Source organism: Homo sapiens, chromosome 18 (genome assembly GCF_000001405.40).
Source record: "Homo sapiens chromosome 18, GRCh38.p14 Primary Assembly".
NCBI classification, from domain to species: Eukaryota; Metazoa; Chordata; class Mammalia; order Primates; family Hominidae; genus Homo; species Homo sapiens.
The window spans coordinates 71,826,903-71,850,810 of record NC_000018.10 but is presented as its reverse complement, the minus strand read 5'-3'; the positions used below and the strand labels follow the sequence as shown (position 1 = coordinate 71,850,810).

The following is a 23,908-nucleotide window of genomic DNA, read 5'->3' as shown; positions in this document are numbered from 1 at the left end:
GGTTTTATTTGAAGGCAATGCACGCTGATTGATGATATATGTCACAGGCAGGAATTCTTTTCTGCCTGTATTTACCAAGTGTGCTTATAGAAGTAGGATATTAAGGAAGGCATAGTGTCAAGCTTCCAAAAGAATGGACATGAAAGTGACTACATCAATAGGAAATTATATATAAAATTTGGGAGTTCAGAGGAAAGGTCTAAACTTTTAGGAAACTGAAATATATATATTTTAATATATATATACACACATACAAATGTATGTAATTTGTACATATATTTTATTTCATATTTTGTCCCTTCTTAGTAGTTTAAGGATGTGGCCATAGTGATCATATTTTTCAAAAAAGATCCAATGATAAATATCTTCTTCAAAGAAGATATGTTACTCAAGTTGAAATCTACTTAAAAAAAAAAAAGAAATTTATTCGTAGAGAGAACACTATGTATTAGTCTGTTATCACACTGCTGATGAAGACATACCTTAGACTAAGCAATTTATAAAGGAAAGAGGGTTCATTAACTCACAGTTCACGGCTGGCGAGGCCTCAGGAAACGTACACTCATGGCAGAAGGGAAAGCAAACACGTCCTTCTTGACAACATGGCAGGAGCGAGAAGTATGAAAACCAAGCAAAGGGGGAAGCCCATTGTAAAACCATCACAGGAATCACATGAAGGAAATGGCCCCCATGATTCAATTACCTCCCACTGGGTCCCACCCACAACATATGGGAATTACGGGAACTATAATTCAAAATGTGATTTGTGTGGGGACACAGCCAAACCACATCATTCCACCCCTGGTCCCTCTCAGATATCATGTCCTCACATTTCAAACACAATCATGCCTTTCCAACAGTCCTTTAAAGTCTCAACTCATTTCAGCATTAACTCAAAAGTCCAAGTCCGAGGTTTCATCTGAGACAAGGCAAGTCCCTTCTGCCTATGAGCCTGCAAAATCAAAAGCAAGTTAGTTACTTCCTAGATACAATGGGGAACAGGCACTGGGCAAATACACCCACTGCAAATGAGAGAAATTGGCCAAAACAAAGAGGCTACAGGCCCCATGCAAGTCTGAAATCCAATAGGGTATTCATTAAACGTTGAAGTTCCAAAATGATCTCCTTTGCATCCATGTCTCACATCCGGGTCACACTGATGTAAGAGGTGGGGTTCCACAGCCTTGGGCAGCTCCCCCTGTGGCTTTGCAGGGTATAGCGCCCTTTCTGGTTGCTTTCATGAAATGGCATTGAGTGCCTGCGGCTTTTCCAGGCACATGGTGTAAGCTGTCAGTGGAGCTACCATTCTGGGGTCTGAAGGATGGTGACCCTCTTCTTACAGCTCCACTATAAAGTGCCCTTGTGAAGACTCTGTGTGGGGGCTCCAACCCCACATTTCCCTTCCATACTACCCTAGCAGAGGTTTTCCATGAGTGCCCCATCCCTGCAGCAAACTTCTGCCTGGACATCCAGGTATTTCCATACATCCTCTGCAACCTAGGCAGAGGTTCCTAAACCTCAATTCTTGTCTTCTTTGCACCCACAGGACCAACACCATATGGGAGCTGCCGAGGCTTGGGGCTTACACCCTGTGAAGCAATGGCCCAAGCCTGGATATTGACCCCTTTTACCATGGCTGAGGCTGAAGTAGCTGGGACACAGGGCACCATGTCCTGAGGCTGCACAGAGTTGGGGGGCCCTGGGCCCAGGTCATGAAAACATTTTTCCTTCTAGGCCTCCAGGCCTGTGTTGGGAGGGGTTGCTGCGAAGGTCTCTGACATGCCCTAGAGATATATTTCTTATTGTCTTGGTGGCTAACATTTGGCTCCTCATTACTTATGAAAATTTCTGCAGTGGGCTTGAATTTCTCCTCAGAAAATGGGTTTTTCTCTTCTATTGCATCATCAGGCTGCAAATTTTCCAAACTTTTATGCTCTGCTTCCTCTTGAATGCTTTGCCACTTAGAAATTTCTTCCACCAGGTACCCAGATCAAGTCTGTCAAGTTCAAAGTTCCAGGGATCTCTAGGTCAGGGATAAAATACTGCCAGTCTCTTTGCATAGTGAGAGTAACCTATACTCCAGTTCCCAACAAGTTCCTCATCTCCATCTGAGACCACCTCAGCCTGGGCTTTATTATCCATATCACTCTCAGCATTTTGGTCAAAGCCATTTGACAAGTCTCCAGGAAGTTCCAAACCTCACTACATCTTCCTGTTTTCTGAGCCCTCCAAGTCTAGGAGGTTTCAAACTTTCCCACATTTTCCCATCTTATTCTGAGCCCCCCAAACTGTTCCAACCTCTCATGTTACCCAGTTCTAATGTTGCTTCCACATTTTTGAGTATCTTTATATCAGCACCCCACTCTCTGTGGTACCAATATGCAGTATTAATTCTCAAACTACTAATAAAGACATGCCTGAGACTGGGTAATTTATAAAGGAAAGAGGTTTAGTTGACTCATAGTTCAGCATGGATGGGGAGGCCTCAGGAACCTTACACTCATGGCAGAAGTGAAAGCAAACACGCCCTTCTTTGCATGGTGGCAGGAGAGAGAATGAGAACCAATTGAAGGGGGAAGCCCTTCATAAAATCATCAGATCTCAGGAGAACTCACTCACTATCATGGGAATAGCATGGGGGAAACCACCCCCAAGATTCAATTACCCCCCACCAGGCTCCTCCCACAGCACGTGGGGATTATGGGAACTATAATTTACAATGTAATTTAGAGGTCGGGCATGGTGGCTCATGCCTGTAATCCCAGCACTTTGGGAGACTGAGGAGGGTGGATCATGAGGTCACATGTTCGAGACCAGCCTGGTCAACATGGTGAAACCCTGTCTCTACTAAGAATACAAAAATTAGCTGGGCATGATGGCATGTGCCTGTAATCTCACCTACTCGGGAGGCTGAGGCAGAATTGCTTGAACCCAGGAGGCAGAGGTTGTAGTGAGCCAAGACTGTACCACTGCATTCCAGCCTGGGTGACAGAGTAAGACTCCATCTTGAAAAAATAAAAATAAAAAATGAAATAAAATGTAATTTAGGTGAGGACCAGCCAAACCGTATCATTGCACCCCTAGGCCCACCAAAATCTCATGTCCTCACATTTTAAAACACAATCATACCTTTTCAACAGTCCTTTAAAGTCTCAACTCATTTCAGCATTAACTCAAAAGTCCAAGTCCAAGGTCGGACAAGCCAAGTCCCTTCCGCCTATGAGCCCACAAAATGAAAAGCAAGTTAGTTACTTCCTAGATACAGTAGGGGAACAGGCATTGGGCAAATACACCCAATGGGAAAAATTTGCCAAAACAAGAGACTACAGGCCCTATTCAAGTCTAAAATCCAAAAGGACCGTTTGGAACCTTAAAGTTCCAAAATGATCTCCTTTGACTCCATGTCACACATCCAGGTCACACTGATGCAAGAGGTGGGCTCCCATGGCCTTGGGCACTGGGAAATTCATAAACGAAAGAGATTTAATTGACTAATAGTTCAGCATCCCTGGGGAGGCCTCAGGAAATTTATAATCATGGTGAAAGCAGATGTGAACATGTCCTTCTTCACATGGCAGCAGTAGAGAGAAGAATGAGAACTGAGAAAATGGGGATGCCCCTTATAAAGCCATCAGATCTCATGAGAACTTACTCACTATCTCGAGAATAGCATGGAGGGAACCACTCTCATGATTAATTATCTTCCACCAGTCCCTCCAATGACACGTAGGGCTTATGGGAACTACAGTTCAAGATGAGTTGGGTGAGGACACAGCCAAGCCATATCACACTAATATTCACTAACAACTGTGTTCATTATCTTCTTTCTGGGAAAAGGTCAATCCCATGTATTTCGCTGATGATTATTAAGTGGAGCTGGAGATCTGATTTCTGGATGCAAGGAGAAAGGCATGTGCAGTCTCCAAGCCTGGCCTCTAAACTGCTCATTGCACAGTCCTCTTTTCTCACCCCATTTCCCCTCTCTGATGCAGAAGAGCTAATAGGAAAATCAGGGGACTTAATGGACAAAGAAACCACAGGATGGAAAGAATCCCATTTGTCATCCTTCATTGGACATCAATATAAGATAAACAGCAATCTTTGCTGTGTTCAGCTGCCAAGATTTCGGGGTGGAGGTGGTTGTTTCTTACAGCCTCTGGTGGTACACACTCGGAATAAATAACATTTTATATGAAGAAGAAAGTGATAACAAGTTTTGGTGAGAATGAGGAGGAAAGGGAACCCCTACACTGTTATGGAAATGTACCTTGCAATAGTCATTGCGGAAAACAGGATAAAAATTCCTCAAAAAATTAAAAAACAGAACTCCAGTGATCCAGCAATCCTACTACTGGGTATATATTCAAAAGATATTAAATCAATGTGTTGAAGAGAAAACGTCACTTTCATATTCATTGCAGCATTATTCAAAATTTCTGAGATATGAAAACAGCCTGAATATCTCTAGGCAGATAAATGGATAAAGAAAATGTGGTGTATATATTTACACACACATATACACACACAAACACTGAATACTATTCAGACAAAAAAGAAAACAATTCTGCCATTTACAAAATCATGGATGAAACCGAAGGACATTATGCTAAGTTAAACAAGCCAGAAATAGAAAGAAAAATACTGCATGATGCCACTTATATGTGGAATCTAAAACAAACAAAAAAAAGGTTTAATACATAGAGACAGAGAATGAAACAATAGTTAACAGGGGCAGGGAGGGAAGGGAATTAGGAATATGTGGAGATGTAAGTCACAAGGTAAAAGTTGCAGTGATGTGGGTTGGATAAGTATGAAGATTTAATCTATAAATAAAGACTACCGTTTAAAATATTGTACACCTGAGATTTGCTAAGAGAAGATTTTAGGTGCTCTTACCACACACATTGACTTTCACACCCCCACCTACACACACACAGTTACTATGTGAGCTGATGGATTTTTCTTTTGCATGATCTAAAATTTCACTATGTATATGTGTATCAAAACTTCATGTTGTACACATTAAATATATGTAATTCAAAAATAATAAAGGCATGCCTGCATAATGTTCATGGTGGTGCAAACTGGTGCTAACAATATCGCAATATTGCTGAAAACCTTGCGAAAGTCTCCTTGCCCTTTGATCAGTTATATATTTTTAGAAATTTTTGGTAAAGGAGAAAATCAGATATGTATCTAAGGTTTTAGCTCAAAGTCATTCACCTCAGATTGTTATAAATATTCTTACAGCACAAAAAGTATAATAATGTCCAATAAAAAACGGGCTGAGTAAAAAAAAAATAAAGTCTTTAAGATTACATCTTACTCTGAAATATTTTTTTGAAAACATATGCAAATACTCCATAAATAATCACTGTAATGGTTTTGTTCATATTAATTTGCTTTGGTTAAACATATTAGTGCAGTTATTGGTTTTTCAGCTATGAATAATGAAATCCTTAGAAAAACTATATCTGAAGTATAAAATAGAGCAAGGTAGACAAAAACCAATATAGCAGATTTTCCAGGAACAAATTTATACAAATATACAAAATAATAAATATAGGACTATGGCTCTATATTTTGTATAATATAATATAACATTAATTATAACTATTAACAGTCATTCTATTTGTGATGTATTTTTTAGTACGTTCTTTGCAATATGCAATTTTCCTTAAGAACAACTTTCTGGATTCTTGTGTTATTTAACATTGGAAGAGTTCTTTGACAGTGCGAGTATGTGGGCCTCTCTCCTGTCATTTTCAGTAGTAAAGTGAAATGATTTTCAGTTTCCAGTGAATTCACTGCTCTCTTAATTGCCCCCGGAAGAGCAAACTGTCAGCAAGAATTTCTACCGAATCTTGCATAATGATTAAAAATGGAGAAACCAAGGCAGCTACAGAAAAGGTCACTGTATAATCTCCTCTTATTGAAACAAATAGATTTAATGGAAGTACTCCATCTTTTCGGTAGATATTGGTGACTTTTCTCAGTCTTGAAGAAAAGATCCCTTCCGATTTTATTACACTGAATTAAATGTTATGTTTATGAGTTTCTTCTTTTCAACAGTAATGAGGTGAGAGTCTTTAACTTTCATTGTTTCCATCATGAAAATTAACTTTTAAATAAGGCTTAATTGTACTTTTCTTTATCAAAGACTAGAGAAATATTCATTTACAGAGAAAAAGATATTTTTGTTCTCTTTTAGATTCAGAGCTTAGGCATAAAGCCTGCTCAGCCTCTGAAAATAGCTGCCCACCTTCCACTGTTTTGAGTGTGATTGAATACACACTCTTTTCCTTTAATATTCAGAAAATGTTTTCTATTGCAGAAAATGTAATTAACATTAAATTGTAGACAGCTTATTATAGGAAAAGACACCAAGTATACCTTACTCAAAACTCATATTTACAGATGAGAATTAGATTGAGTAATTGTAGCGTCTCCTAAATAATAATGATGATCATGATAATGACATTATCAACAGCCAATTTACTTTCTGGATCCTAACAATCTTCTGGCCAATCTGATAAACACTTTTTGCATGTATTCAACTAATTTAATCCCCATAGGTCTTTTGCATATCAGTTTGTTACTCCCATGTTAGAGGGAGGAAACTGATTTTTATCAAGGTTAAGTAATTTTTCTAGATCCCACAGTAGGCTAGCTAAAGTCTAAAATCATGGTCCAGGTATTTGAGGAAATTCAATAAAATTTAGAGGCTGAAAAATATAGAACTAACTTAAATTTTTTTATAACAAAAGCTACTCATCTTGAAAAAATATTTGCCTATGAACATATATATTTGTGCTTTGGGCACTGTAAACTTTAAGCTACTGTTTAAAAACATTTCTGAGCGGCAAATAATGTCTACAGAAAATAGTGTTTGCAATAATGGTGTCATTTTACAGTATTTTACAAACTAGCAGTCCTTTCAATTTGAGGGTTAGTATGCTTAAATCTAAAAATTAAAATGGAATTCTGTAAAATAATTCTATATAAATTAGCTTACTTTAATTCACTAAGATTTTACTGATTGTTTTGTTTTATAGGGAAAATAAACTCATATATGAAGTTCTGGCTAATAATTCCTCATGAGATTTGCTTAAAGAAATTGTTCAGAAGACTGTGCTTAAAGTTTGGTTTACTTAGATATGGTGAAAATAATTTAAAATCAAAACACTTCATTTGTAATAATAGTTATAAGAGTCCCAATGTTAAGAGAAGCAATCTATTTAAAACTTGTATATATTTTTCATGTGTTAAACAAGCTTAGACCATCATAGTATAAAATTAATTCATATGTTTTAACTTGCTTAGAAACTTACCTTTTTAATAAAATTGAGTTTTATTCTCTTGCCTTAAGACAATACATGATCTTTCAGATAATTGTGAGCAGTTAAAAATATGTAAGCTCAAGTACATATCTTCAATGCATAATATATATTATGGATTATACATATTATATATATATAATTCTGTAATGTTTATTTTAAATATTTTAAGGTTAGCATATATTCATGTAACTAGTTTCTAAACCTATATCCATAGTAATTTTCTAGTTTTTTAATGTCCCATAAATTATTTAGCCAGTTTCTCCTTGTTTGGATATTTAGAGAGCATCATTTGATGCTATTGGGGAAAAGTCTAAGACATTTTTCTACACTAAGCAAAATAAATTTTAGGAAAAGCTTAATGGTAAAGCAAATGTGTTGTTGAGATACTATCTTATATCTAAGATTAGTTGAATGACTAAAATTGTATCATCCCTTTTTACATCCATATGTTTGAAAAGGCCAAGAGGAAACTTCCTAATGTATGAAATTGTACTTGTAAATGTTATCTCTCTTTGGCTGCTTTCCTTTCCTTGATTAACACTCTCTTACAGGTGGAACGGACTATCTCTTGCAAAAAAGCCTGAGGCTTGAAATTCCTGGCTCTTGGAATGTCAGATTGAGTTTATTCCTCAAACATACGGTTTCTTATTTCGATGAAAATATATACTTACGTTAGTCACATGAAATTCTTACGATGATTTTTAATTATCTCTTTATTTTGACAGGCCAGAATAACAAATTCAGATTGATTTATACCAGTTTATTCTACAGAATCTTATCTCTAAGTTAACCTTCTCTACTTCCTAAATTTTAACTGTTCATTTCCTTAATATTTATATAAAGCCATGCTTCCATTTTGCTACATTGTGTAAATAAACATAAAATATTTTTTGGTCAGGCGTGGTGGCTCACACCTGTAATCCCAGCACTTTGGGAGGCCGAGGCGGGCGAATCACAAGGTCAGGAGTTCGAGACCAGCCTGGCCAACATGATGAAACCCCGTCTCTACTAAAAGTACAAAAAATTAGCTGGGTGTGGTGGCGGGTGCCTGTAATGCCAGCTACTAGGGAAGCTGAGGCAGGAGAATCGCTTGAACCTGGGAGGCTGAGGTTGCAGTGAGCTGAGATTGTGCCACTGCACTCTAGCCCAGCCAACAGTGTGAGACTCCATCTCAAAAAAAAAAATTCATATATTCCAATAAAATGTCTTACATAGTCAATAAATATGTGTATAAAAATAGATATTTTAAAAACTATCATAAAATTTCTAATTTATTTATATTTTAAAATAATAGGATAAAAATTCTCCATGAGACTTCCTTATTTTGTCAATATAGTAGATATTTGCCTTTATGTGTTGTCTAGTGTATACAGTACTCATATTTCACAAAGGTATCAAGTTTCATCTGAGGGAAGTTGTTTCTTTCTGGTTCTGTGTTGTATTTGGTGACTGTTTATCCCATTTGCTATCCTTCCTCTATGGAATCACAAAAGTGCCGGATCCTTCCCTTGCTCAATTTCCAGGAAAATAAATGATAGATGGGAGGCGGGAGGCAGGCGGGTCACAGTAATGCCCAACACATGCTGTCTCCCATGTCTGAATTTTGATTAAGTGGCTAAGGATAAGGTAACTCATCCCTGAGTCTTAGCAGTGGCTTTGATGGCAACATTCAATGCAGCTGTCAGATAATTGCTATTTGCAACATGAATCAAGAATTTGAAAGAGATCATACATTCTTAGCCCTTGGTTGTAATTTATGACCACTAGTTTATAGAAATAGTGCAGATAATTATACTGTTAATTCATCATAGTAATATAATATTACTTAAGACTTACCTTAAGCTATTTTCCCTGAAAACTATTTTGCATGCACTATCTCACTACCTATATTGCCCAATGTTTGAAATAGTATTTAACTCTCTAAGGGCACACACACTTGGATTCATAGCTCTAAATCTAGAGTTCCAGCTCTCAACCACTCACTGTCCTATCTATTGTCAACCTATTTAGTATCTTATCTATTATTTTCAACTCATGCGACATCTCTTGAGGACTTCATTTCTATGAGACAGGGCACTATATACTGGATTTACACAGTTGAATTTGATATTATCCCTGCCTTAGTTGCAGTTTATTAAGAAGAGACCAACATTTAAGCAATGAAGTGAAATTGAATATGGTACTCACCATGATATGTGTCAGGGATAGGGAGAGGATTAATTAAAGATAATGGTCAGTTCATGCATCAGGGTCAGAATAGGATTTACAGCAAAGAGACCTGCTAACACTTTAAAGATAATGAGGTATTTTGTGGCAGCCAGAATACAGGAGAGATTTTAAGAAGAGGTAATACCTTGACTAGATTTTTATAGCAATGAAACAAACTGCCATAACTTAGAAATGGAATTATTTAGATTGTCCTGAATAGAGAGAGGGGAAACATCTATGTGGGAAGCAGCATGTGAAAGTTTAAAACGTGGGCAAAGACCAGATCATGGAAGGTATCAAATGTCATGATAACAATTTACATTATTTTGCTACATTTAATAATAATATGCAGATGTTTTTGAAAATAGATAATAAAAGGCTCAATTAGAAATTTTGGAAGATGTATTTATATTTTAATTATATACTGAAAAGTTATAAAATTATGATTAATCTTTGCAATGGTAGCCAATACTATATATAGTGCATTATGACTTACAAATTCTAAGAGATTGAATGTAGATCCATTCCAAGGAACTAAGAGCTTTTAAATTATGTATAATATTGCTTTTTATTCAAACCGTTGTTTTCTTTCTGAGATGTAGAATTAGCTCTGGGTAAAATCATTTGTAGAGATTTGTCTTGACAATGTTTTCATCTTCTGGGTTCTCTGAAGTGCCCTCTCCCTCATCATACCTTATTTTCTCAAAATTCCTTTTGTAGTTCAATGATACTTATCAGCATTATACACATATAATTTTCTTGGGACATGGGTTGCTCCCCAGTGACAGCAATCACAATTTTTTAAAAAAACTTAGGCTAACAGTAGAGGCTATGTTTATTGGGGTTTTCTTTGTTTTTGTTTGTTTGTTTGTTTTGAGACAGAGTCTCAGTCGGTCTCTCAGGCTGGAATGCAGTGGCGCAATCTCAGCTCACTGCAACCTCCACCTCCCAGACTCAAGCAATTCTCCTGCCTCAGCCTCTAGAGTAGCTGGGATTACGGGTGCTTGCCACCATGCCTGGCTAATTTTTTGTGTATTTAGTAGAGACGGGGTTTCACCATCTTGGCCAGTCTGGTCTTGAACTCCTGACCTCAAACCATCTGCCCTCCTCAGTCTCCCAAATTGCTGAGATTATAGGCAGGAGCCACCATGCCTGACTAAAGCTATGTTAATATAGTATCTCCATCTGAGTTTATTATTCTGATAACCAAAAAAGTGGCCTTAATTGTTGAAATTTCAGTTGCAGCATGTGATTTGGTAAGTTGCGTCCTTATTAATAAGAATTTTTCAGCAGCAGTTAAGAGTGTAGACATATCCAGAATATCGTGTTGATTCGTTTACGGCTCCACAGTTTTCTGAGATTTATTATGCGTCATACTTCACTGTCCTTAAAAAAATTTCTTCCAATTTCTCAGTATTAGTCACGGTATTTTCTTGATGTAAAAAGTGTCAGAAAGACAGGGACTGAAAGAATAAATAAAATAAAACAGTACTTCGGAAACAGGCAAGCAGCATGACACTTCCCATTACTGGTCCTCTTGTTCTTCAGGATCTATTTATTAGCTCCCTCCCTCCGCATTTAGAGTAGGATGAGAACTAATTATCTTAAAAAATAGAAAATAAAATGAAAAACATGAGGTCCAAGATAAAAAAGGTAACTGCAGTGTGAATTCATCTTTCCTCCTTGAAGTTTATTTAAATTGGCACTAAAATGAGTGATTTACTGCAAATAACCTCCTCATTCTTTATCCCTTATAGACATGTTCTGTACCTTTTAGAAGCATTGTGAAAATAATATTTATGTTGGGAAAGTAATCTGCTTTGACATTACAGAACCAAAACATTTTTGATGAACACCAAGGGTGTGTCTTTCTATAGGAATTTTGTTACAATATGTATCGTTAGAAAATCACTAGGACATTGTCTAATAAGTTCAAGGTAAAACCATTTATTATATTTACCAGTTTACATAGATCTAGTTAGATGTATGATTCATAACTTGATTACAATAGGAGTAAAACATATCACTAAAGAACTAGATAACTTTCGTACAGCATAACCATATTTTGATATTATTAGATCTTTTAAAGATTTGTTCCCTCTCGTTTTTTATATTCATTTATGCTGCTCAGATCAAACCAAGTAGGACGTTTGCTGCTCAGTTACTAAGGAAGAAGAAATTTTAACAGCTTGCTAAGTGTAGAGTTCCATTAAGTGACCCTAGGACTCCTTAGAATTGAAGAGGCTCCAAAAAAAGAGTATAGCATCTTGCTTTGATACGCAACCTGGAATTTTTAAAATGAGACTTTTTCTTATCAATTGTTGCAGGTTTTATTTAATTGACAGTGTTGAAATATTTGTATTTTGAAGAGTTGTATACAGTCCTATATCATGTACATTTACTGAAAATCAGTCCTTCAAGATGTTATACAGTCTTAAGCCATAAACTAACTGCTCTGTTCCAAACTGGCTACAAAAAAATAAATAAATTAAATAAAATAAGACCCATTTATCCTCCTTTACATTTGAGGTTTTAATTTCAGAAATATTTCATTCAGATTACTTACTGGGGAAAAAAAATCCAATTTGTATCTCTACTAGGACAAAATGTGATTTTACTTTTCACACGTCTGCATGTTAGTGAGATCTCACCAACAATGCTGATAATGCTAGACAGTGCATATCCCAAAAGCTAGGATAGCTTAGTGCATCAGATTCTCACATTTTCCTAGTGTAGTTTTTCCCAGAAAGTGATCATTATTGCCTCGTGTTCTGCTAAGGGACCATGAAGTCCTTCAAGAACATAGCTAGGTCTAATTGAAAGTTATATCATTGACACTAATAATAAATGGTATGTAAAGGTATGTTGAATAACACAGTATTTTTTTTATGAAAGCCTCAGAAGTAATTTTTCTAATGAATGCTTAAACTAATCAGTATGATTATTTGTGTAAGTTACTAATTTACCTTTTAAAATATTTTATTTATCCATTGAAAAAATATATATTTTATTTATCCATTGAAAAAAAAATTTTTAAACAATTGCTTATATAATTTACACATTATTAATTTGATAGAGAGAAACATACTCCTTAAGTCACCTTTTATACTCATTTATTATCCAAAATATAATAAATATTTATAAGTAACATTTCTCTGATAGGAAATATTGATAAATATTTTTGAGACATTCTTTTATTCTGTAGATCATTTAATTATATTTAACATGGAAAATACCTTTAGTTCCAAGACACATACCTGACAAACACTTTTAATCTGATGTTTTTTAGCTACATTTATTAGAATTCAGAATTGGAATAGTCTAAGATTTCCTATCTCTATGATGGTTATTCTCTATCCTGACTTCTCTCAGAATTCACCTGGTCTTAGATTTAATTCAGCTTTTCATATCCCCATCATTTTATTGTCAAAGTAGGCTGACAGATTCATTTTATCTAGATGTATGCAGACTCGGTGCAAGGCACAGACTGAAAGGATCTGGATTGATGCACACAGCTGTCAGGCACCTTCTATGCACTGCTGAACAACCCATTCCAAGCAGGGTTCAATGTCATGATTCATTGAGAGTTTGGCCCACCCAGGAGTGGGGGCAAAGCAAAAAATGACAATATTTTTAACAGTATTTCAAGAAGACAATTGTTGAAATGAAATACTAAGATCAGTTCCTTTGAATTCATCCCAGTGGATTGGTGACAGGTAGAATGCTGCTCTAATGAATTAGGGGAGAGTGATGGTTGCTTGAACTATATTGATGCGGTGGAGACACAGAGAAGAAGAGAAATTGGAGAGCTATTGAGGAGAAAAATCAATAGGACTCGACCAATTGATTACGCAGGTTAAGCGAGAAAAGAGTCAATGATGACTTTTAGATTTTTTATAAATTTTCATCCATAATTATCCATAAAAGTGTCTGACAAAACAAAATGATACACTCAGTAGAACCTGAAATATAGCCCTTGTGCTTCAATAAAATTCTGTTCACTGTAATGCAACTTACAATAATGTGAAATGTTGGAAACAGGAGTACTACTGCTTTATCGAGGAGTCCGTCTTCTGAAAGAGTTCAAATAGTTCCCTAAAGAATAAATGAGGAGTGAGTGATGTTGGGACTATTGTGGTACAAGTGAGTCAGGTAATAAAGGCAGGGCCATTTGCTGTCATGGCCTATCCACCCACATTCATATCTAGTGCTCATGGGAGTGTCTTCAACTCTGAATGTACAGGACACTGTTTCAGTCTCAAAATTCTGATACAGTGTTCTAGTCTCAAAATTCTGTCTCTGAACACTTTTGCAGTCTTAAAGAATATTGACAGCCACCAAACCATTGGTTTTTAAAATATTATATCTCTTTATATTTCCCATACTTGAAATTAAAACTAAACACACACACACACACACACACACACACACACACACATCATTATGTATGTCAGTCAGAGCGGTGACATCTTCTCTCACCATGTAGCCTCAAAGAAACTCCACTGTGCCTGTGGAAAAAAGAGAGTAGAAAAATTCACATAGCAAGCAGGTTAGTATGAAAGTAGTACAATCCTTTAAAAGAGGGCATGGATCATCAGGCATCCCCACACAACACTTTGAGAACCACTGCTGTAGTATTAAATAAATGAATGGTATTTGTTGACCATCTATTGTATACGACAGAATATGCTAGAACCTACTCATATATTGTTATCATTAGATTTTCAATAGCTTAGAGAATATTATTTTCATATAACATATTGGCAATTGATGCCTAATGAGACAAACGTTATTTGTCTAATGTAATGTTAGATAGGAAAATAATTTCAAAGCCAGATCAGTCGGCATCCAGAATCCATCTTTCCCCTATACATTATAATTTTACCAAGTAACAGTTAGTCAAATGGTGTTTCCTTAGAAATAATTATGAAAATTGCATTGGGAAAAAACGTTGCCAGCACATGATCTCTAAGGTTTCCTCCATATGTTTTTTCTGCTGCTTATACAAGTGTCTAATACTTTTTGGGATCCAAAAGTCAAGTAATTAACTAGGCATCTGGAACTGACATACTTAGTTTTGTCTAATTAATGGTGGTTTATATATGAGAGTTTCTTCATAAATTTATTTCAAATTTAACTTACTTTGGTGATAAAAACTCAGTTTTATATAATCACATGTTACAACCCCCAAGCTGAAAATCCAGGAATGTGTGTTTGTATATGTGTGTATATTTTTAAAACTTAATTGAGACAAATATAGTTTAAAATTTATTCTGAAATACTGGTAATGCTAATGTAAGACATGCCATGAGCAGAAAAAAAATGATTTCTTGAAACAAAATTTCATAAAGTTGGGTCTTAAGTCGATTGGCCTAATTTTAGTGCTAAAATTTTAATTTCTGGATTTCAATTTATAAAGACAGCCAAAAATTATTCTTCTTCTATCATAAACTGTTAAAACAATGTAAGATTTACTGGCGATGCTAACACACATTCCTTCTGTAAACATACATTTACTGACTGTACGAGGGTTCTCTTAGAGAGACAGAACTTACAGGATATATATATATATATAAAGAGAGAGAGAGAGAGAGAGAGTTTATTAAGTATTAACTTATACGATCACAAGGTCCCACATTAGGCTGTCCTCATGCAGAGGAGCAAGAAGAGCAAGTCCCAGTCCCAAAACTGAAGAACTGAGTCCAATGTTTGAGAGCTGGAAGCCTCCAGCACAGGAGAAAGATGTAGGCTGGGAGGCTAGGCCAATCTCGCCTTTTCACGTTTTTCTGCCTGCTTTACATTTGCTAGAAGCTGATTAGATTGTGCCCACCAGATTAAAGGTGGATCTGCCATCCCTAGCCCACTGACTCAAATGTTAATCTCTTTTGGCAACACCCATACAGACACACCCAGGTTCAATACTTTGTATCCTTCAATCTAATCAAGTTGACAGTATTAACCATCACATTGTCTGTTAAATCATATATATTCTGAAGATTTAATGGTGAACAAAATCAACATAAACCTTGACCTCACAAAACACACCCTAGTTGAAGACACACGCATTAAACTAATAATCACAAAATAGGTACGTATTTATTATAGCAGCAGTGTGCTGCTACTAGAAAATACTCTAGGTTGAGAATCATATACTTTTACTTTAGAGATAATGTAATGTGATGATATACACCAGATTGTAAATAAAATTTGAGAAGATTATGCTATCAATTTTGAATTTGTATTTATGAGGAAGATGATAGTAAATTATAGCCAGGTATTTGGTCGTTTTCATCTGTATTCAACAATTTTTGTCTGCTTTTCTGCTGATTTTTGCTCTATTATTTATGGGTTTTTGTTTTTTTGTTTTTCCCATTTCCATGTGTGACTTTCTTGAAACAGGGCTCATACTTTGAGGATGAGAACTAGTTACTTTGTGATCTTGGATTAAAGTGTTGACCTGATGTAAAGACTCGTGGTGGATTAAATTGAATGGATGGAAACGCAAAGGTTTGCGGTAAGAGAAACCTAGCACATTGTATTTTTGCATCTTTTAACAGTAATAGTTCTGAATCCCAGTTTTCTATAAAATTATCAATGGATTTATTGGGTTTGTATATATTCAGAAAGAACAAATTGGGATTTGGAGACATAAATTACATTTATATCATGTAATAGTGATGTGATTGTGAAGTTTCTGAATTAGTTGAAAAATTATTATGGTGCATGATAATGAATGGTCACCTACTAAACAGATCTTTTTTATTAATATCTATTTATTTCTCTGTGTAAGACTGTATCAAGTTCAGATTTCTTACAAAGAATTTACCATTTTTTCTAGGACATATTAATGATAATACTAATGATAATGTATTTAATCCTGAATGATCTTCATGTTACATACTGAGTGCTTTCTTCACATGTGTGCAGGGGCTTTATTTTAAGAAATGCTATCGGGAAAAGGTATGTGAATCTAGGAAGAATGTTATGGAAAAGGGAAGGATATCTTTTTTGGAGTCATTTCTCCTGGGGTTTATCATGTAGGACAAAATGAGCATCTCTGTGGACAAGTGGACTGCACTCCCTCTGGAAGCCCTCTGAGATGCTGTATAGAATATACTCCAGGCAGGGCGTGGTGGTTCACGCCTGTAATCCCAGCACTTTAGGAGGCCGAGGAGGGCGGATCACGAGGTCAGGAGATCGAGACCATCCTGGCTAACACGGTGAAACCCCGTCTCTACTAAAATTACAAAAAATTAGCCGGGCGTGGTGGCGGGCGCCTGTAGTCCCAGCTACTCAGGAGGCTGAGGCAGGAGAATGGCGTGAACCCGGGGGGCAGAGCTTGCAGTGAGCGGAGATCGCGCCACTACACTCCAGCCTGGGCGACAGAGTGAGACTCCGTCTCAAAAAAAAAAAAAAAAAAAAAAAAATCAGCTAGGTGTGTTGGCGCGAGCCTGTAACCACAGCTACTCGGGCGGCAGAGGCACGAGGATTGCTTGAACCCAGGAGGCAGAGGTTGCCGTAAGCGGAGATCGTGCCACTGCACTCCAGCCTGGGGGACAGAGTGAGACTCAATAAATAAATAAATAAATAAATAAATAAATAAATAAATAAATAAATAAAAGAATATACTCCAGATGGGAAAGAATAGGTACTCATCCACGGATTCTCGTGACGCTGTTCAATTCCCTCACCATTTCACACTGGCCCACGATGAAATGGATGAGCAAATTCCAACAGGCCCGATACCAGCTGCAGGCAGAGGAGTCCAGGCAGAAAGTGAGCTGTGTGTGTGGGCTGCTGCAGCTAAGGTGAGGTGCTGTCCTTCATGCCTACCCACAGACGGTTGCCGTGGCAACACTGGAGTCACTTTGTTGGCCAAGAGAATGTGAAGATTTGGCATTTAGTAGAGATAGGGTTATTTCAGCATCCAGGCTAAATTAAAATTGAATCCAGTTTCTCTGACCCTTTCTCTTGCAGCATCTTGCTTCTATCTCAGGGAAAAGAGCTTCTATTTTGGAGAGCGGTAAACTAAACTTCCACTCTTTCCTGTTCCGCCTTCCAAATTCCCCCTTGCTTCACGCTTCTGGCAGGATTAGGCTTAGGAAGATTATTCACGTCTCCATCTCGGGTGGGAACACTGGGTTCTTGATGAGGACCAGACCTGAGAATGGAAGATGAAACACTGGTAATCGCTTTTGGCATAGATGTTCAAGGAATTAGTGTTAACACTCTCATATTGACTGCCAAATACTTCATACTAAGGCTTATGGAGAAGACAGCAAAAATCTCATTTTTGCTGCTAGAAAAATGAGTTTCATCTTCACCAAACTGATCAGGGCAGTGAAACTATGTTTTAACAAGATGAGAAATTATGTGTGCCTACATTGTCCGATTAATAACTAAGATCTATCTCACCTCTTATGTTGACTATATATGAAAAACTTAACATTTCTGTTTACTTGCCATAATTATTAGCTGAAGATTTTAGTGTCAAAAATTTAGCTTTATGCTTATTGAATTTATTTTACATGTGAAGTGTGTATATATACATATGTGTGTATACATATATTTATTTATTTATTTCCATTTCTTAATTGTCGCCTTGGTTCAGAGCCTTCATATATGATGCCTCTTCTGCTCAGAATTCTTTCTCCAATGAAACTCCCGTCACACCCAGCAATTACTATTCTTCACTGATGTTTCAACTCAGGGAAGATTTCGAAAAAACCCTGCCTATTCCCCCAGTAGAATTGGATATTTCCCTGTATTTCTCTTTATTATATTTAAGTATGAGTTTTTACATTTTTTAGTAATATCTGTTTTCCCTAGTAGCATAAATTTCATGAGTGCACTGGGTATTCAGTTCTGAACATAGTGCCTTAAATTTCTTGGTAAATATTTGTTGAATCCAATAGTTAACCTACAATATATTAAAATAGAATAATACAAATTCTAAGTACTTAATTTTAATTTATTTAATAAAATTAAAATGATACATATCTATAAGAAGACATATAGACAAGTCGTGTTCTATATATTATTATTTTCCTTTATTATATGGTACATACATTAACTTAGGTGCTATAATTTTACATGTTGTGATATCATGCCATGCACTGCTACAGTCTAGTTGGTTTTAAACCTGGATTGATGAAATAAGATAGTATCTGATAAGGTGATAGAATTATTATGCTTTTAATATCTGTATTACAGGTTTTAAAAGTATAAGAGAGAAATGTCGTCTTAAAATGAATACTTAGCTCTCTGAAACAGAGGATGGGTGACAGTAATGTAGATTGTGGAGACCCACAATTAAATCTGAACTTATCTCTGGTGACTATTAATTATAAACGTGACATTTTTGAGGTCAATACAGATGGTTGACAGTTGAACCATAATTGACAAACTGCTTAGGTTGAGATGACAATATTTAAATTAAAATCTATACTTGAAATACCATATGACAAAGCATCTTTTATAAGTGGGGTAGCAGGTCTTTTAAGATGACTCTAATAATTCACTGACAGTACTGGATTAAAGACCACCAGCTATTAGTTTTGGAGACACTATTAATAATCTGTGGCCCCAAAGGAAAGTAAGAAACATTTCTGGGTTTTAATTTCATGCATATGAAAAGAAAACAAATTGATAGTTTTTAATATGTAGGCTGATTATGAGGCTTAAGTTAGTAAATTTCTATAAAGTCCTTACAATCTTAGTTCTGACTTCTTAGTAAGTACCTTATAATATACTACATAATATGTAAAATATGTATCTTTTTTCAGAAGCAAACTATTACAGGGGTATTTATAAATGAGGCTGAACCCATCAGAAGAGAGAAATGGTATATTTACCAGAGTTTACCAGACCCTCTGAACAACTTGCATTTAGCTTATCACAAGGGAAAATGGCCTGGGAAGTTAATTCTACTGGGCCAAGTTGTAAAACCTGAACTGGGAAAATGGCCAATTGTTCTAGCTTTATTTGCAAATGTGTCAGAAAACTATGACAAACAGAATAGTTTAGTGTTGAGTAATAAAACTCTTAAAAATATTGGCATATGCATTCTACAGCTTACAGGCACAGGTTGTGTCCTACTGATAATGGTCCAAGAGTTTTGACTTTTATTTTGGAGTTAAGCCACATTGTTCTTCCAGCATCTACACAGATTTCAAACCATGAGTGCCCTGAGTCTTTGAAATGCTTAATTAACACAAACCAGAGCCAGTTATTCTAAACTAGGGTTTAAAGGAGAGTTTTAATTATATATTCCACTGAAGGAAAATGTGACACAACTTGAGAATATCGTTCACACACTTCCCAAAGAGAGGTGGAATGCTGCCATAACCTAGTCTTCATCAAGGCACCCAGGAATAATCTGTGAGAAGCATGCAATGAAGTGTGGATTCAAACTGACGAATTGCATATACATAAAATCCATAGGTAAATCCTCGACAGTGAGTGAAATATTTTGGATGAAAAAAATGGGTAAAGTCTTCCCGTAAAAAAAAAAATAGTTCATTGGAAAAGGGCCCTGAATGTCCTCAGAGAAAAGCAGCCTCTCAAAGATGTGAAGAACAGTCTCATTCTCTCTGGTCTCTGAGGCTTATGCCATGATAAGTGATGGAATGAGAAAGGGTTCACTACTTTCTGTTGTCCTTATTCCCCTTCCTGGATCACTTTCACTTTAATCATTAAGTAAATTTTCAGAAGTAAATTAGCTGTAGTTCGAGAAAGTTTCAATGTGATTAGATTAAAATTAAAAGAATCCATAAAAATGGAACAAAGAAGAAGAGGAATGAAATTACTTTTACTTTAAATAGCATTGTTATCACATAAAACATGTATCTTACAAATTCATGGGATAGCCCATAAATGGGACTACAGCAACAATGGTAGGAGAGTCCATCCTTCTTCAAAAGCAACCCAGCAGGAATTTTCTGTTCAAAATATTTTTCCTGTCATACTGAAGTAACTGAGATAAGCTCCAATGTTATGAGAAACTAAATTTCCTACATATCATTTGACATGATGAAAGTGGTTTTGCCACTTGCCTTTTTAACTTAAATTTTTTGAAATAAGATTGATTTATTTATATTTTATTTGAATAAATATCTATTTGAACCTGTCTCATGTGGGAAGCAGTTTACAAGCTATGTCAAGTTTTAGAAAAAAAAAATGTGCTTCAGTGATTAAGGGACAGCATGTTTTAAAACTGTTTCAATTGTAAAACAGCAATAGTGTAAAACAACAAAGAAGCAGGATCACTGTTTTTTGTTACAAAACCACATAAGCCGTTGTAGCCAAAAGTACAAATCAATAGTTCAGAAATTGGCGTTAAGATTATATGGGAAAGAGTTCAACTTCCCTTAAACTGAAAAGGAATTATAGCAATCATAGTCAAACTATGTCTGGGAAAGATAGACAGAATTAGGAAAGAGAAAGACACCTGGAATGTCTTTGTTTTTACCAGAAGGAGTTGTCAAAGGGTTGTCACTTCAGGAAAGGGTGACAATGGCAATAGCAATGGTATTTCTCACTTATCCACAATTAGAGGCGAGAAAGCAGAGGCATTGAACAATTATTATTTCTTAACATCAGGCAGACTTGGCAAAGTCAAGATTCAAAAGCAATGCTAACTCCACATTCTACATGCTTTTAAGAAATAACACATTCAAAAAACTGGTTCTCCAGAGACACACCTCATCCATATGAACCAGAGGACAAAAGGAAAGAATAGACATCATGTTGGGAAGCTTTATGTTGGGTGATTTAAAAAAAAAAAAAGTTCCAGAATTGAGCTGCTGCAGCCTCTATTTCATCTGATGTGATTTTTGAATTAATCAGCTGAGAGTGAGGGTGAACTGGAAACTGGATTAATAGTTGATATATTTAGCACAGTTATAAAACTTGTCTTCTGCAGCACGCTTTTGAAATCTTATAGACATGGAAAGAGCAGGCAGCTGGACTTCGTGTAGACATGATCAAAGCAGCATGATGTTAGGGGAACACAGGGGATTTGAGATAATCTGATTAAATGTTGTATTAAAGAAATGAAATTGTATAGGTACATGGAATAAAAAGAAGTGGCTAATATAGAAAGAAAGCATCCATTAGACAAGAAGGGCTGGTTTTAGTGAGTTTATAGAATAGTTATCATTAGATTACATATAGTGAGACACTGTGAATATAAAAGCATAGATAGAGAATATATATTTGAGAATGTTTCCAAATGTTACAAGACCTGCAAGTTGCAAATTTCTGGGCAAGGTAATATGTGAATTTGTTTCAGTTCAAATACAGGTCACAGGAGATGAGGATGCCAAGAAATTGAGAGGTCAAGCCTTTACAATAGTCATGGGCATGAATGTTAAATCTCATGGAATGAAAAAATAACTGAGTAGAAAGAAAAATGTAGACATTGATGTTAACAGTGTTTCTCAGTGAGTGATGGGGAGAGACCTCAAGTTTGAAAAATGACCTTAAATTAGATAAGTAGATACTAGATTTAAATAAAGTGTCAAAGAGGTATAGACAGTTGAGTTTTGGAGTTCATTAACTTTTCCTGGATCCACAGATAAGTAATGTTTACAAAATATTAGTGATACTTAGAGTAGAACCTACAAGACTTGATAATTGTATGTGAGGTATTAGGAAAGAAAGGGTCAAAGATGACTCAGAGAGTAGAAGAATGGGGATTGTGTCCATATAATTGTGCTCTGTTGCTTTTTTTTTTCAGTTAGGCATTGGGAAGAGATTTACCTGTATAGTAATAGAAAATATGTTGCTAAAATGAGGTTGAACATTTCTTCTCTGTATCAGGAATTACCTGGCTGAGGTGCTGTCTTTGGCATTACAGAACTGAATAAGAATTTCTAGATGAGTGGGATGTGCCTGCCCAGTGTTTTTTCCATTTTCTTGATAACAGAATGCCACCTTTGCTTGTGTTAACAATGTGTCCAGCCATACTCAAAGCAATACACAAAAATCTCATGCCCTCTACCAGTGACTTGTCTACTGATGAACATGTGACCAAGCTCTGATCAATAAAATATAAGAGGTTATCTCCTGGAGGCTTCTGAGAAAGTCCTCCCTGAGGGGCGGGAGATGAGTGAAATAGTCACGTGAGGAAAAAGTTCTTCTTCCTCATTCCTACCGACACCTCACCCTCTGGCTGCGGACGTTGAATCTGGTGTCTAGAGCTGAGCAGCCCTCCCGTGAATGTCAGAAACAAGTGTGGGCATAGAAGCCAAAAGCTGGGATGTGGAGGTTAGTAGAATGCAAAGATTTTAAAGATCTGGGTCCTTGTTTACATGACTGAGACACTGTACCAACCCTGGGGCAGCCTACCTCATAACTTTTCATTAAATCAGTCAGGATTAAACAAAACAAACCAAAAGAATTACCAGTCTGGAGCACCACATTCAGAACAAGAGCTGCTCAGCAACGTATAATTACCTTATCTTCAAACTGAAAAAAATTAAAAATAAAGCTACTGACTAATTACTAGTAATCCATCTCTCAAACACCACAAAACTTTGATGTGAACTGTCTCTCAAAGAGTCCTTTCTGAATTCTCCACACAACTTGAGTCATAAACGTTTCCGTTGTCAAAGCATTGGCTGGATGGCTTTATTCAAGGCTATTGCAATAGCAAAGAGGGGCCATGCCTATCAGTTGTACAAAAACAAAGAGCTAGAGGATTTTTAAGAGCTGGGTGTGGGGAACTTAGCCCATCTGTGCTTACCAGTTGGACTACCACAAAGGAGCAGTCATCTTCAGGGTGGGAGGTAGTTTTAGACCTTGGAGCAAGGGCCCCAGGAAGTTAGGCTCCTCCCCTCCCATGGAGACAAGACCAGGGAGGCGCTATCTTCCTTGATGATTGCATTTCAAAGGGATGGCTCCCAGGTCCTTAAAAAATAAAGTTGGGTTTTAAAACCTGAAAGAGGCTTTTTAAAAACTACCATTTCAAAGAGGTACAGAAAATAAAAGTTTTCTAAAGTAAATATTCTAAGAAAATTGAGGAGAGGGACAATTGTGGTTAGGCCATCTGGATTCTAGAAGTGTTGGTGTTAGGGAGGCCAGGAGCCTGGCGGCAGGAAGAAGATCCTGTAAGTTATAGTCAAGCAGTGGGGAATGCAAGGCAGTGTGGGTCATGCCTTATTACCTTTTAAGGAATAATTTTTCTTTTTTAAATATTTGCTTGTAGGTTGGTGCAAAAGTTAGTTCAATTGTTGGCATTTCTTTCAGTGGCAAAAACCGCAATTACTTTTGCACCAACCTAATATTTAAGCTAGTATGAAATGTATTCTTTATTCAACAATTTATTTTTAATTTAGTCAAATAAAATAAATCACACA

At 36.3% G+C, this 23,908-nt stretch overlaps 1 long non-coding RNA gene across 2 annotated transcripts in view; it reads right to left on the bottom strand.

Moving 5' to 3' along the window:
* Positions 1 to 11,479: 11,479 nt before the first annotated feature.
* Positions 11,480 to 23,908, bottom strand: part of LOC102725148 (uncharacterized) — a 28,812-nt gene continuing 16,383 nt past the window's right edge. Inside the window, exons 2-4 of one of the 2 annotated variants that reach the window (XR_935616.3) lie at positions 17,240 to 17,709; positions 14,028 to 14,056; positions 11,480 to 13,643 (exon numbers count right to left, since the gene is read on the bottom strand). This is a non-coding gene — a long non-coding RNA (uncharacterized LOC102725148). Of the gene's footprint in view, positions 14,057 to 17,239; positions 17,710 to 23,908 lie in introns of both variants that reach the window. The other variant, XR_935615.3, reaches the window with a different exon arrangement.